Source organism: Homo sapiens, chromosome 15, assembly GCF_000001405.40.
Source record: "Homo sapiens chromosome 15, GRCh38.p14 Primary Assembly".
In the NCBI taxonomy this organism is placed as follows: domain Eukaryota; kingdom Metazoa; phylum Chordata; class Mammalia; order Primates; family Hominidae; genus Homo; species Homo sapiens.
Window position 1 is genome coordinate 48885724 of NC_000015.10, and position 16546 is coordinate 48902269.

At 41.1% G+C, this 16546-nt stretch overlaps 1 protein-coding gene across 2 annotated transcripts in view, besides 1 other annotated feature; it reads right to left on the minus strand.

The window, feature by feature from the left end:
* The window catches only part of SHC4 (SHC adaptor protein 4), a 140179-nt gene that overhangs the window by 61983 nt on the left and 61650 nt on the right, over positions 1 to 16546 (minus strand). For both annotated transcript variants that reach the window (NM_203349.4, XM_005254375.4), the window contains exon 3: positions 5025 to 5088. In NM_203349.4, coding sequence (NP_976224.3) covers positions 5025 to 5088 — 64 coding nt within the window. The remainder of the gene's footprint in view (positions 1 to 5024; positions 5089 to 16546) is intronic.
* Positions 3076 to 3257: a silencer, noted in NCBI's record as "fragment chr15:49180996-49181177 (GRCh37/hg19 assembly coordinates)". NCBI's record gives its function as "represses an EF-1alpha promoter that drives an FKBP-Casp9 reporter gene in an ReSE screen in K562 erythroleukemia cells {active_cell/tissue: K562}" and the evidence as "EXISTENCE:reporter gene assay evidence [ECO:0000049][PMID:32094911]".

The window sequence follows — 16546 nt, forward strand, 5'->3', positions numbered from 1 at the left end:
TTATTTTTAATTCCAAGCACATTCTAAAATGTAGTGCAAACAGTGTGAGGAAGGAGCCCTCAACCTCACAGCTATCACCACATCATAAAGCTGACTCTTGGTCTACTTTCTTTGCTTCTTACACAGCTCTGGGCAAAGCGAGCCACACAGTTCAGGGATTTTGTGTTCCCACAGTGATTTTATTTAACAGCAAGCTGCTCATTTGCTTCTCTAGAGTTTCTTTTCCATGCTAGTTTAAAAAATATTATTGTGAGGCTGGGTGCGGTGGCTCACGCCTGTAATCCCAGCACTCTGGGAGGCCGAGGTGAGCAGATCATGAAGTCAGGAGTTCGAGACCAGCGTGACCAACATGGTGAAACCCCGTCTCTACTAAAAACACAAAAATTAGCCAGGCGTGGTGGCGCATGCCTGTAATCCCAGCTACTGAGGAGGCTGAGGTAGGAGAATCGCTTGAACCTGGGAGGCGGAGGTCACAGTGAGCCAAGATTGGGCCACTGTACTCCAGCCTGGGCGACAGAGCAAGACTGTCTCAAAATATATATATATATATTATTATGAAATACAAATTAAATTATAACACTGTCTCACAGTCGAAAAGCATTTTGTTATCTGTAAAGAACTTTTACGTAAATCATCTTAATTTTGTTCTCACCATAACCTTAATCTCGTGAGAAATGTCCAAAATGTATTTATTATATAGGAGACAAAGTCTTTCATGCCATCATTAGAAATGTCCTAACAGTTAAAAGACCGATGGAAGAAAAAGGAGCGGAAAGCACACAGGATGGGCAGTGAGGCAACTGGAATTCAAGTCCCAGGTTTGATCCTAACTTGTCAAGGGACCTTAGACAACTCCGGAACCCCCTCAATGTTTTTGTTTACCAAACAGGATTAATACTACTATCACTTCCATTCTTCCACCTCTAGCCATGGGAATCTTAGGAGAATCAAATTTAGTATTAATAATAAAGTATATGGAAATGCATAGTATACAGCGAAGTGCTAACAAACTGTAGTGGTTATAATTACTACTTTTAAAATGAATTTTGGCAATTTTGCTGTAGGATTTCTCCTTCGAGAAAGAGAAACTGCAGACCCTGGCCTTGGGAGAGGTCATTATGGGAATGAGAGGAGAAGGGAACAGAAAGAGAAGGCTGAGGATGGGATACTGACCAAATTTTACTAAAGAGTGGAGGCAGGCCTGGCAGAGGTGCTTATCCACATTTTACAAACGAGAAAAGTATTAAGATAGGGAAACATTAATTGACTATATCTGGGTCAATTTATTTGTACTGACATAGCAGCCTAGCTCTTCTACTCTATGTCGCATAGTCTCTCAGGAACCCCCAGTTCTTTTGGTTATTCATTAACTTTTAGACTTCAAAACTCATGGGAGATCACATAAATGAATAAATCATTTTTCCATTAGCACTCCAAACTGCTAATGATGCAGTATCTAACAGATCTAAAGAAATCAAACAAAGATCTGACTATATTCAACTGGTCCTAAATCGTTTTTGGCTCCCTCCCCCCAGGGCAGATGCTTGGCAAGGAAGCAGATAACATTGTGATTAAGTGTGTAAATGCTGGAGCCTGCCTGGGCTTGACCTAGCTCCTCCATACACTGACTGGGCCACTAAGCAAGTTACTTAACCTCTCAGGGCCCCAGTTTCCTCATCTGTAAAATGGGGATAAATAATAACACTAGTGGCTAGGTTTTTTGTGATGATTAACAAAGTATAAAAACCACCGCATACCAAAACTTATGGGATGCAGTGAAAACAGTGAGTGCTAGGAGGAAAAATCATAGATATAAACACTTTTATTTAAAAAGCAGAAAGGTCTTAAGTCAAAAACCTAACATTGTAACTTAAGGAACTAGAAAAAAACAAAAGCCAAAGCTAGCAGAAGGAAGGAAATCATAAAGATTAGAACACAGATAAAATAAATAGAAAATAGAAAAATAGATAAAATTAATTAAACCAAAAGTTGGTTCTCCCAAAAGATCGACAAAACTGACAAACCTTTAGCTAGATGAACTAAGGCAAAAAAGAGAAAAGACTCAAATTACTAAAATCAGAAATGAAAGTGAAGACATTACTACCAATTCTATAGAAATAAAAAGGATTGTAAGAGACTACTGTGAACAATTGTATGCCAACAAATTGGAGAATCTAGATGAAATGGACAAATTCCTAGAATACCTATCAAGATGAAATCATAAAGAAACTGAAAATGTGAATAGGCTTGGTGAGAATATGGAGAAATTAGAACCCTTGTGCATTATTGGTGGGAATGTAAAATGATACAGCTGCTGTAGAAAACAGTATGGCAGTTCCTAAAAAAATTAAAAAATAGAATAACCACATGATCCAGCCATTCTACTTCTGGGTATATACCCAAAATAATTGAAAGGAAGGTCTCTAAAAGATTTTGTAACTCATGTTCATAGCAGCATTATTCATAATAGCTAAGCTGTGGAAGCAACCCGGTGTCCATCTACAGATGAATAGATAAGCAAAATGGGTATATACATACAATGCAAAATTATTCAGCCATAAAAAGGAAGTAAATTCTGACATCTGCTATGACATGGATGAACCTTGAGGACATTATGCTAAGTGAATTAAGCCAGTCATAAAAGGACCAATACTGTATGATTCCACTCATATGAAGTACCTAGAGTACTCAAAATCATAGAGACAGAAAGTAGAATTTTGGTTGCCAGGGGCCGGGGCGATAGGGGACTGGGGAGTTCTTGTTTAATGTGTAGAGTTTCAGTTTTGCAAGATCAAAAGAGTTCTAAAGATGGATGATGGCGATGGCTGCACAAAAATATGAATGTACTTAATACCACTGAACTGTACACTTAAAAAGGGTTAAGATGAGGCTGGGAGTGGTAGCTCACACCTATGATCCCAGCACTTTGGGAGGCTGAGATGGGCAGATCACTTGAGGCCAGGGAGTTAGAGACCAGCCTGGCCAAAATGGTAAAACCTCATTTCTACTAAAAATACAAAAATCAGCCAGGCATGGTGGCACATGATTGCAATCCCAGATACTCGGGAGGCTGAGGCATTGAGAATCGTTTGAACCCCCAGGAGGCAGAGGTTGCAGTGAGCCACTGCACTCCAGCCTGGGTGACAGAGTGAAACTGTCAAAAAAAAAAAAAAAAAAAAAGTTAAGATGGTAAATTTTATGTTATGGATATTTTACCACAATAAAGTGGAGAGAAAAGAAAAGAAAAAAGCCTAAAGTGCTGGAAAGAGTCCCTGGCTCATACTAAGTACTCAATACATGCCAGCTGTTGAAGGAAACTAGCTGCTTTTCTGTTTTTCTCTGCAAGTGTACTTTCCGGATAGATGATAGCCAGGTTTGCTCTGTTTTATTTTGGGATGGGGAATCCCTGCTCCTTAAATGAGAATATCTTGCCTGGTAGCTGGAATCATCCAGTTGAAGCATCCTAATCAGAAATTATGAGAAGCAGGAAGAGGTTAGAGATTACTTTGGAACCATGGGTTCTGTGAAAGAAACTAGTCAAAGGGAGTCCTTGATGGAATTTAAGAGCCATTTGTCAGAATGTTTCATACCGTGTGGATTCTCTAGGTGACACTGGGTTCAGCCCTATGTAATATAATGAAGAATGATAACCAAAAATGGGGCAGAATGGTATAGAAATAGAGCCCTAAGCTGGGAATCTGAAGACTTGGCTTCTACAGCTGGCTCTGACCTTAATCATCCTAGTGACTCAGGCAAATATCATCTCTTGTCTCAGACTCAGTTTAGTAGCTGGCAAAATGAAAAGGTTAGACCAGAAGATCTCTTAAAAAACCCTTCTCCGCCGGGTGCGGTGGCTCACGCCTGTGGCCCCAGCACTTTGGTAGGCCGAGGCAGGCGGATCATGAGGTCAGGAGATCAAGACCATCCTGGCTAACACAGTGAAACCCCGTCTCTACTAAAAATACAAAAAATTAGCCGGGTGTGGTGGCGGGCTCCTGTGGTCCCAGCTACTCGGGGGGCTGAGGCAGGAGAATGGCTTGAATCCGGGAGGCGGAGCTTGCAGTGAGCCGAGATCGCACCATTGCACTCCAACCTGGGCAACAGAGCGAGACTCCGTCTCAAAAACAAAAAACAAAACAAAAACAAAAAACCCTTCCCTTAAACAGTCTGCAATTCTATATGATTTATATAGTTATCTCAAGAGCTTTTGCATTGGCCCTTTGGACTTTTCAAACCAACAAAATATTCTAGGGCTCATAGCTTAATAGCAATAATACTAGCTACCATTAACACAGAAAGTGTAATAGATGCCAGACGCTGTGGTAGATAGTATGTAGACATCACTTCGTTTATTTCTTACATAACTCTATAAAGTAAGTGCTATTTTCTCCCATTTTACAGATGAGTAAACCAAGGATCCAAGAGGTTAAGTAACTTGTCCAAGAGTACACCATTTGTAGGTGGCTGAGGCAGGACTTTAATCCGAGTCTGTCTAACATCAAAACTTTTGCTTTCTTTCCACAGGGAAAGCTACTGTACCCATGTGCTATTACCTCACCTTTACCACTATCCATATTTATACTAGAAAATAGGCCAGGAAGCCTAAAAAGTCTAAAATGTTATAATGCAGAATACATACATTATAAAATGTGGAAATTGGAAGGCACTAAACTGGCCATTTAGTGCAACTCCCTAACTCCACAGGAAATAAGAACAGAGTCTCAGCAAGATGAGATCCCATGCTCACTGGTCAGTAACAGCCAACTCTGGCACCCTACATTTCTGACATAAAGCCCAGGGCTTTCTCCCCTCTGCAGCTGGAGGTATCACCACGTCGGACAGTGTCAGGCAACTCGGAAAGATTTGAGGGACAAGAGCAGTTTTGAGTGCAGCTCTGATATCACGCCACCTAATAAAGGCCAGGCTGGACCTTGGTCATATGGTGGGATGAACGAACAGCGATTTTCATACTATCTTTGCCATAATTAGGGAAACATAAACAAGAAAACCACATCATCATTTACCTTTCGCTTTTTAATGGCTCCATTTGCCCCGGGGACAGCTTCACACAGGCGACTTATTGCTTCCCTAAAGAACAGAAACCATATAAATAAAGACTTAGCATACTACCTCCACACAGTAAGTGTTTAAGAAATGTTAGAAATTATCACGACCAAAAAGTACACATACATAATAGTGAGTCTAACACAAATGGTATTCTCCCAGCCCCACAGGAGGAAATGCTGTACTTACTCCTTCTGCAGGAAAACCTAGCAGCACCCTAATACTGAGCAATTGCTTTACAACAAGGAGCTCTACTATTCGCTTTTTTCATCTCTGTTTTTCCTTGGGTTTTCAGATTTTGTTTATTGTGTTGTTGATTTTTAACCAAAAAGGAGGGGCAGGGCATTGTCATCTGGAAATACTTCGCAGTTTTATCTTTAGCAAAATCATCTCTGTAATGTTATGAATAAAAAGCTTCATAGTATCTCAGAACTAAAGACAATTAAATGCAAAAAGAACCTGACACGAGAAAATTTAAAAGGATCGGGAGAACGTTGAACTTCAAGGTGGTCTCAAATGGAGTTTTATTGACTAGGTTGCTGCTGCGAGCCATTGAGCTTTCATGTAATTTCACAGAAGAAAAGAAATCAATATCAAATTTCCTCCTTTGCTTACTTTTCTGCCCTTCCTATATATTGCACTTCCTGAGAGAAAGGCACCGCTAAAATAAGTAGTTGCTCCTTAATGGAAGTGGTGAAGAAACTGGCGCCCTCCTTTCCAGAAATGCAGTTATAACTAAAAGCTTTTGTCTCTGGGACTCTGAGCATTCATAACTGCCCAAGCTTTCACTCTGTGTAATTTGAACCTTAGCCTTGTGGCTTTGAACACATATATTAAACTTCTCACAAGGCAAATGGAAATCTCTTCTGGATTCCCCAGAGATCATTGTTTAAATTAATAAACTATATTCTCTCACACACACACCAATACACATACACATGCAACATTGTATTATAGTTTTTATATATATTATATTTCACAATAATATTTTCTATAGTTTCGATTCCCAAAGGAAGTGGGGAGAGGTCAGAGAGAGGAATGCAGACCCATTTTTGTTTTGTTTTGTTTTGTTTTGTTTTTGTTTTGAGACGGAGTCTCGCTCTGTCGCCCAGGCTGGAGTGCAGTGGCGCGATCTCAGCTCACTGCAAGCTCCGCTTCCCGGGTTCATGCCATTCTCCTGCCTCAGCCTCCCGAGTAGCTGGGACAACAGGCGCCCACCAACACGCCCGGTTAATTTTTTTGTATTTTTAGTAGAGATGGGGTTTCACCGTGTTAGCCAGGATGGTCTCGATCTCCTGACCTCGTTATCCGCCCGCCTCGGCCTCCTAAAGTGTTGGGACTACAGGCGTGAGCCACCGCGCCCGGCCATGCAGACCCATTTTTAAAACTACAGCTATGATATTTTGTAGTGCAGAGCGATGTTCTTCTAGAAAATACTTTTGAAAGATAAGCAGAATTCCCAAAGATTCTAGGCATTATTTTGCACTTATAATGTATGTTTTAGCTCAGATCATTTTTTCTATATAAATGAAACTCTTCTTCAAGGTATTATCTTGTCTGATTTTTGCATAATTATCTGCAACCAAAGGATAGAATGGATCTTTGGTTAGCATATATTCTCAGAATTTCATATTTATTGTTTCTCTAGGATTCTATCCTTTGTTCTCTGGAGTCAAATAGAAGGATAACACAGATAGTTGGGCCCTCTGGCTTGGTTGGTTGATTGACATTTTGAGTCATCTTAATGACTACTCAATAATTGATAAGACTCATATTATTAATCCAAATTGGCACTGATACTGCCGAAATAGCTAGTCCAGGCACCCCACTCTATTGACAGTATTTAATAAAGAGGTATTATAAGATAGGGCAGATCCTTTAATCCATGAGAGTGATTTGGATGTTTTGGTCTAAAAATACAAAAAATTAGCCAGGCATGGTGGCAGGCACCAGTAATCCCAGCTACTTGGGAGGCTGAGGCAGGAGAATCTCTTGAAGCCGAGAGGCAGAGGTTGCAGTGAGCTGAGATCACGCCATTGCACTCCAGCCTGGGCAAAAAGAGCAAAACTCCGTCTCAAAAAAAAAAAAAAAAAAGTTGACTATAAATGATATGAACTTAAAGTAAAAACAAAGGTGGATATTGATGCTGCCAAATATAATAACAACAATAATAAAAATATAACAATAATTATATGCCAAATATAGTAACTTTTTACTAGAAGTTGTTACTTTTATATAGCATCTTGTAATTTCACAAACTGTTTTCCCACACGTTTGTTTTCTTGATTCTCACACCAATTATCAATATCTTCTAACAAAAAGTAATGCAGTGAATTGAAGCTGAAGGGAATACTTTACAGCATGAATACCTCTCAAGGAGGTTTTGAAAGGATGAACCTTCCTGGCAGGGAGGGGATTGGAAATTCTAGACAGACAGAAGAACATAGGTGAAGACACCAAAACACAAAGTATCATGATATGAGGGGAATTACAGGTACTTTGATATTGCTGGAGCATAACATATGGTAGTAGAAGAGTGAATATTAACTAAGAAATAAGAGTCTAAAAACTGTTTCTGTGAAGTGCCAGACGGTAAATATTTCAGACTTTGCTCTTTTGCAAGTACTCAACTCTGCCATTGTAGCACAAAAAGCAGCCTTAGCCAATATGTAGACAAGTGAGCATGGCTGTGTTCCAATAAAACTTTATTTATAGAAACTGAAGGCTGGCCAGATTTGGCCCATGGGCCATAGTTTGTTGACCCCTGGATCCGATAATTCACACAAAAGGAGGGAGAAATCATTTGGCTTTTTAAGACGGGAAAATATTCACATTCATTATAATTTTAAAATTGAAAATTAAAACAACAAGATACTTCACTCATATTAAATTAGGAAAAAAGATACAAAACCCAGTGTTGGAAAAGATGGGAAATATTCTGCTTTAGGCATATTTATCCATTGCCAGGGGCCTTGGTTAGTATTAATACAATCTGAGAGTAATTTGGTAAAAGTTGACAAATGTCAAAATTTATCAGAGCACAGGTGGGGCGTGGTGGCACATACTTGTAGTCCCAGCTACTTGGAAGGATTGCTTGAGCCCAGGAGTTCAAGGCTGCAGTGCCACTGCACTCCCACCTGGGTGACAGAGCGAGGCCCTGCCTCTAAAAACAATTTGTTTAAATAACTTATTACAAACTTCGACAAGGTGGGGAGAAGCCTGTATTGGGATAGCATTGAGTATATAAGTAAAAGAAACACTTCAAGTAAGAAACCAACCCGAAGTCTTGTGATATAGAGATAAAACATATCAAAATAAATATTGCCACTCGGACTATAGAAATATGAAGAAGTCTATATAAATTAGTGTGAAAAAGTAGAACTTGCAACAGTATGTACACATTGGTAGCAGCTATACAAAATTAATCCTGTGTCAATAGTAATATAGAAAGAGCTTGTAAACTATGGCTTGGTTTTAGGTGCTTTTTTTGTGGTTTGCTATTTTGTTTCTGATTCTACCGATGTTTAGATATAAACAAGGTAAACAATGTTATGTTTTACTTTCATTGTGCACTTGATCGGATAAGTAATCCTTTAAAATATTGAAAATAATGCAGAGTAAGTTCCTTCAGCAGGAGTTTTGCTAGTGTGAGGCAAAGGTGTTGAGATGTGAAGGCACATCAAAGATGTCCCAATGGAGAGGTGACACCCATAGAGAGACGGGACAATGTTCCTGTTATGGATACTAACAGATGTTCTTTATTTCTCTCTCTGCTCCCATTCCAGCTTAGCTTTTAACCCCTCCATCTTTGTAGCCACTAAATCCAGATTTCCTTTTTCAGTTTTTTAAGTAGAGTTACCTGTTTCTATTCCCAAAAGTTTCATAAAGATAAAAAATCTTGAGCACGTTTAGTAAAGCCTTTTAGAATGGTGCACCTTGCAGTAGCAGGGAGCCCGAGTTTCAGTGAAAGAACAGCCTCTATTTATATTTATTTATTTAATTTTTTTGCTTTTGTAGAGATGGGGGTCTCACTCTGTTGCCAGGTTGGAGTGCAGTGGTGGGATCATAGCTCAATGCAGCCTCAACCTCCTTGGGTTCAAGCAGTCCTCCCACCTCAACCTCCCCTGTGGCTGGGACCACTACAACTGGCAAAAACCGCCACAATTAGCTAATTTTTTCTTTTCCTTTTTTATTTTTTGTAGAGACAGGGTCTCCCTATGTTGCCTGGGTTGGTCTTGAACTCCTGGGCTCAAGTGAGTCTCCCACCTCAGCCTCCCAAAGTGCTGGGATTAGAGGTGTGAGCCACAGCTCCTGGCCAGCCCCTATTTACTGAGCACTCTTTATGGTCAGGCCCAGAAGTGAGCACCTTATGTACATCATTTCATTGAGTCATAACAGTACCATTCCAAGGTATGGACTTTACCCTCATTTTACCAATGAGGATAATAAAGTTCAAATAATTTAAATAACTGTACAAATAACGCAATTGACAGTGAGAGAGACAGAATGCAAATCCAGTTCTGACTTCAAAACCCACAAGCACCGGGGAGGAACCATATTGCCAGATGGATAAAAAGGAGGGAGTCCTAGGCTCCAGAGACTAGGGAAAGTAGTATATTGACTGTCCTTCCCTTGTTCACTCCCCTAACATAGTGAGGCGCAGCTCTTTGGCCAATCGTTAATACCCGCGTGGCTGGTAAACTACCCAGGCAAAAGGACAAAGTGGTAGGGGCTGACTCTAGAAAAGGCTTACTCGGATGCCCCTGCCCTTCCCCAGCCCTCTGCTGTCTATGGCTGGCTGCCACCTCCTGGAAGAAACGAGCATCTGGAGCCAGGCTGTGCCCACCTGGGCAAACACATATGAGTGTGCACTCACACGCTCACTCAGAACTGTATATTTGAGGCATGTGAGGCTTTACAGAGCGCCCAAAATCTCTTGATATACAAAACTCTGCTCAAAAGAAAAAAAGGGGAAAACTTGTGCTTATGAACTTGCTTTAAAAAGTAATAATTAGCCAGGCACAGTGGCTCATGCCTGTAATCCCACCACTTAGGGAGGCCGAGGCAGGAGTATCCCTCAAGTCCAGGACTTCGAGACCAACTGGACAACATGGTGAGTCCTTGTGTCCACAAAAATATATATATTTTTAAATTGCCAGGCACAGCAGTGCACACCTGTGGCCACAGCTACCCAGGAGCCCGATGCAGGAGGATTGCTTGAGCCTAGGAGTTCAAGGCTGCAGTGAGTTAGGATCACATTACTGCACTCCAGTCTGGGCGACAGAGCAAGATCCTGTCTCAAAAAAAATAGTAGTTATTAATTTTTTGAATTGGAGACTCTAAGATGAGCCATGCCTCTCTCCAGTAAAAGACCTATTTGTACAAACTTTCCTTCTTTCTTTTTCTTTCTTTCTTTCTTCCTTTCTTTCTCTCTCTCTCCCTCCCTCCCTCCCTCTCTCTTTCTCTCTCTCTCCCTCCCTCTCCCTCTCTCTCTCTCTCTCTCCCTCCCTCTCCCTCTCTCTCTCTTTCTTTTCTTTCTTTTTTTTTTTTTGAGACGGAGTCTCACTCTGTCGGCCAGGCTGGAGTTCAATGGCATGATCTCAGCTCACTGCAACCTCCGCCTCTAGGGTTCAAGCGATTCTCCTGCCTCAGCCTCCCAAGTAGCTGGAATTACAGGTGCCTGCCACCATGCCCGGCTAATTTTTGTATTTTTAGTAGAGATGGGATTTCGCCACATTGGCCAGGCTGGTCTCAAACTCCTGACCTCAGGTGATCTGCCCGCCTGGCCTTTCAAAGTGCTGGGATTACAGACATGAGCCACCGCGCCCAGCCTGTACAAACTTTTCTATTCCATTTAAGAAGGTCCACTCCTCACCCCAAAGCTCCCCAAAACATTCTGTGGACCTCTTAGAAATTACAGATCCCAGGTTAAGAAATACTGCTTTAAATTAACCTCTCAAATTCTGCTGGCCTTGCTGATAGCAGCGTTAACAAATCTCCTGAAATCCCAGCAAGGACAGGCAGATAGATGCCTACATTTTGTTGCTTTTGTTCACAAAGATCTTTTCTTCCCCTGCTACTGGGACCAAGACATTAACTGTAACATTTTCAAGAACAAATAGTACTTTCAGTGCTTTTCTGGAGTCTCAGCCACACCCTTGGGCCAACTTTACAAATGCCGAGGAGAAAGAAAAAGAAAACAGAGTTGAGAGCGATTTCTCCTGGGGCTCAGGGGGTCCCCGCCATTCTTGCAGCCCAAGCAGCTGCGCTCCTGCAGAACCTTTTTGGAGCTGAGTGGCGGTGAGACTTTCTCCAGCTAGCAAACATTCAGCAAGTGTCTGCTCTTAGAGGAGCAGAAATTTTGGGGTTTCAGTGGCTAAAGATTTCCATCCTGGGAGCCTGTATTAGAAAGAAAGAGAAACGCCCCAGAGCACCAACAGTGGCCACTTTGTTTATTGTTTCGCCACATGAGAGAGAAGGGGAGAAGTGGGCTGATGTAAGAGAATGAGAATGCCGTGGAAGATTTGCTTTTAAGCATATAAAACCCTGCCTACGCCATAAGACCAAAAAAAGATATTTTGTCTGTCTTAACAGAGTCCAAACTAATCATCCAAACAAAGCCACCTTTCTTCATCAACTCCTGGCCACTACAACACTTAAGTTATAATTCTTCTGTGTTTTTAACCCTTAAACAGTTAAGCTCCTCTGGAAGCAATGTCGCCACACACACACACACACACACACACGCACACACTTTTTTTTTTTTTAAGTTTGGAAGGCAATATCACAATCCAAGACAAAGGGGAGCATTTAATGGGAGGAGAGGCTGCGCGGCAGATTTTTTCTGGTGAATGTCAAGATGCAGTTCTTCAGTAAATAGGAAAGCCAGAAAATGTGCAACATGAAACCAGGCAAAGGGGCCCAGCTGGAATGATTAAAGGCAATGATCCCCACATCCCCCACCTTCTGACACACACACACACACACACACACACACATCTATAGTCACATATGCAGTGAAGGAGTAGTTCCAGTTTTGTCCCTGCAAATAGGAATGAGAATAAAATTTTAATCACAGCAAGAGCCTTTCCAAAATAAAAAGTCAACGATACTCAGCCAAAACAAATTCACCTGCGTTTCCCAAAGGTCTTTCTTTCACTTTGCATCTCCAACGTAAGTCCTTAAAGAAATCAGTTAACAAAGTCTAAGGGACATGTTGCACCCTAAATGTCTTGGATTGCCTTCTTATTATGAATGAAGAGACTGAGTAATTCAGACTGCACATCCATGTGGTATCATGCTGTTCTCATTGTTCTAGGGAAACCAGTACCATCTTTTTTTAAATCTTTGCCTCCAGGACAGCAAGGCTCAGTGATCTATGTGTTCAATTTTGTCCAGCTTAGTGAAATTAAAGACATCCAAGAATTTGTGAAAGCCCTCAGACAGGACACTTTAGAACAGGAACCTGCCTCTGTGGCGATAAGCACACAATGAACGCAGTCAGTGCCCACAGACCAGTTGAAAATGGAAAGCCTCAGACTTGCTTTGTGCTATTATCAAGGGGCATCACCCGTGTACTCTAGGAGGGTGAACTCAGCCTCATAAAATACATCCTTTCACTTTAGAAACAGGCACCTCGGGTCCCAGGATGGTCAAATAAAACCTTTGAGTACTGCCCACAGCATTTATCCCCACACTGACTTAGTGTCCCACTCTGTTCACCTGAATTGTACTTAAAGTCTGTTTCTAAAGTACATTTGCTAGCCAACCCAGCTCAGCAACCATAGGAAATGGGTTTGTCTGTCTACTTCGTGATTCTGCCCTTTGGCTCTGATGCAAATGTGAACCCATTAATCACACTGGAATGAAGTGAAGGACCCTCTTGTCTGGAGTATCACATCTCCCCTATAACTCTCACTAGTTAACGGACATTAAGTGCTGGTTTTTTCCTGTCCCCACAGAGATTTCCTGTAATACAATCATGTATCTCAAAATTCAAACACCTACACCCACAAACTGATGGCTTATAGGCTTTATAAGTGGTTAAAGAAATGACAATAAGAAATAGAGTTGGTTTCATATAAAATACATGGGAATTTATAAATTCAAAAGATTGTTCTCCTTTAGGGTAAACTGGGCTTCTTTAAAACAACTTTGTTTTTGACAAAATATTCAAAATATTATGAAGGTGTGTCTTTTGGAGTTAAAGAGTGCACTGATGCATAATGTGGTCACTTAAAAGCCAAAGCTCATTTAGAAAAAAAAAAAAAAAAAACCGAAAACAGGTCTTACTTAGTCACCCACTTTATTCACTCAAGCTCACTCTAAGCAATGTATATCTACTTCCAAAAATTCTTCAGAGAATACTTGGAATTTTAAAGATATTTAAAACAGTTTGGCCAGGTGTGGTGGCTCACACCTGTAATCTTTGTACTTTGGGAGGCCAAGGTAGGCGGATCACTTGAGGTCAAGAGTTTGAGACCAGCCTGGCCAACATCGTGAAACCCCATCTCTAGTAAAAATACAAAAATTAGCTGGGCATGGTGGTGCACATCTGTAATCCCAGCTATTAGGGAGGCTGAGGCAGGAGAATTGCTTGAACCGGGAGGTGGAGGTTGCAGTGAGCCAAGATTGTGCCATTGCACTACAACCTGGGTGACAGAGCAACCCTCCGTCTCAATAAATAAATAAATGAATAAATAAATAAACAAACAGTAAAACAGTTTGTCATACAGGTGTCTATATTACTGAGCAAGACAGCAATTGGTGTAATGAATATATTACTTCTACCACTGTTTTTTTTTTTAAATAACTCTGGTTCTTTTAAAGGCTATTTGGCAAATATGTTGTAAATTTTTTTGGGAATTCCATTTTTTTAAATGTGTGTGCACCTCTGGAAGGAACGAACAACTGGCCTACCAAGTTAATCCACCTTGACAAATAATAGTAGGACAACTTCAGCTTGCACATCCACAGAGAGTACACCATTTAGGTAAGTGGTGATCAAACTGTAAAGTTCTTAAGAATCAACTGGGTGCTGGTTAAAATACAGATTTCTAGGACTGTTCCTAGAGGTTTTGATTCTGAGGTGAGGCCTAGGAATCTACAGCTTAACAAACCTTCCAAGTGATTCTGACACAGAGTTCATGAACCACACAGCTGATTAAACCTACTTGGACTCGTTGCATTGAGTAACAGGTTCTGTGCTCTATAGCTTAGACCAGATGGTTGTGTTAGTGCGTGTTAAGGAATGAGGTCACCTCTTCCTAGAGGCTAGGCTAGGGAAGGTTACACTGTCTATACGTTTGATGATATTCCGTTCTGGGGAATTTTGTTTTCAATGTAGTCACTCTATATTCTGGGATAGATATTTGGTATAATCCTCTCTTCTCCTCTCTGCCTCCCCCATTCTCATCTCCTAAAGAAGAAGGGCTTTATGGCTGGGCGCAGTGGCTCACACCTGTAATCCCAGCACTTTGGAAGGGCTAGGTGGGAGGATGACCTGAGGTCAGGAGTTCAAGACCAGCCTGGCCAACATAGTGAAACCCCATCTCTACTAAAAATACAAAAGTAGCCGGAAGTGGTGGTGGGCACCTGTAGTCCTAGCTACTTGGGAGGCTGAGGCAGGAGAATCTCTTGAACCTGGGAGGTGGAGGTTGCAGTAAGCTGAGATCGTGCTACTGCACTCCTGCCTGGGCTACAGAGTGAGATTCCAACTCAAAAAAAAAAAAAGAAAAAAAGAAGAAGAAGAAGGGCTTTTACCAGAGGGCACATGGAGGTCCTGAACATCTTTGCTTACATCACCCTTTGCACACACAAGCAGTGAGAGAGTGGCCTGCATTCTCTCTCTTATCTGGAGGCAGCAAGGTCATCCTGGAGGCAGCAAGATCTAATCTATTTGCCCCTAAAATGCATTCAACACTCTAGGCAGTGGTTCTCAGCCTTGGCTGCACATTGGACTACACCACCAAGAATTTTACGAAGTTCTGAAGACTGGGTCTCAGCTCCAGAGATTCTGAATTAATTGGTGCCGGACAGGGCTTGGGGGTCAGAAGTTTTAAGATCTCTTCCAAATGCTTCCAACAAGGCTAAGGTTGAGAATCACTCTAGCAGCAGTTGGCAAACTTTTTCTGAAAAGGGCCAGGTAGGAAATATTTTAGCCTTTGCAGGTTATATAGTTTCTGTTACAGCTACTCAATTCTGCTGTTGTAGCTAGAAAAACAGCCATAGGCAATCCATAAACAAATGGATGTGCTTGTGTGCCAGTAACACTTATGGACACTGAAATTTGAATTCCATATGATTTTCATGTGTCACAAAATATTCTTTTGGGGTGTTTTTTCCAACCATTTAAAAATTGTCAAAACCATTCTTGGCTGACAAGGTGGCAAAATCGAAATCAGGTAGCAGGTGGGATTTGGCCTGCAGGCTGTTGTTCTCTGACTCTTGCTCTAAAGCAAACCGGAAACAAATGTAAGAGGCTTTGGGGTCGTGGTCAGTTATTAGCTTGTGCATGGTGCAAAGCTTATTAGAGTGTAATCTTTTGCAAGGATTGTTTATACATATTTTGAACTTTGTCTTGTTCGGTTTCTTGGTACAGGAAGTTGGGTATTATAAGAAAGGGGTCTTTCCCTATGTCAGTATAAGAATTATGGGACTCCCTTTACGCTGTAAATTATTGTTTTTCCATTCTTTTATTCTAACAGCACTCAGTAGAGGCAGATGGAAACAAATTATTTTTTCCTTTTAATTATCATCTAACCTTCATTAAGTGATACTATGTACATGAAACAGTGCAAAGTGTTTGGGCAAGCAATACAGAAATAAACAAAAGTGCAAAATTATAGTAACTGTTAAAATTTGATGGCTTTATCTATAACTCTACTTTCTAATGATAATAGAAAGTGAGGAAAAGCTAGTCAGGTAGACTCTGCAGTTAGCCAGAGTTCAAAATCTAGCTGTCTCTTACAATCTCTGTCACCCTGAACAAGTTTTTAAAGCTCTCTATGTCTCAATTCCTTAAATATAAAAAGTAAGAATAATAATAGTGCTTTGAACAGTACCTCAGTAAATGCTAGCCATTATTATTGCTTTATCCTTATAATGGCTATCTACTTTAAGAACTGGGTCTAGGCCGGGTGCAGTGGCTCATGCCTGTAATCCCAGCACTTTGGGAGGCCGAGACAGGCAGATTGCCTGAGCTCAGGAGTTTGAGAGCAGACTGTGCAACATGGCAAAACCCTGTCTCTACAAAAAATACAAAAGTTAGCCAGGTGTGTTTGCTTGCACCTGTAGTCCCAGCTACTTGGGGAGGCTGAGGTGGGAGGATTGCTTGAGCCCGGGAGGTTAAGGCTGCAATTAACTGAGATTGTGCCACTGCACTCCAGCCTGGGCCAGGAAGTGAGACTGTGTCTCAAAAAAAAAAAAAAAAAGAACTGGGTCTAACCTAATTTGTACAACACCTATTACCCAGCAAAGTATT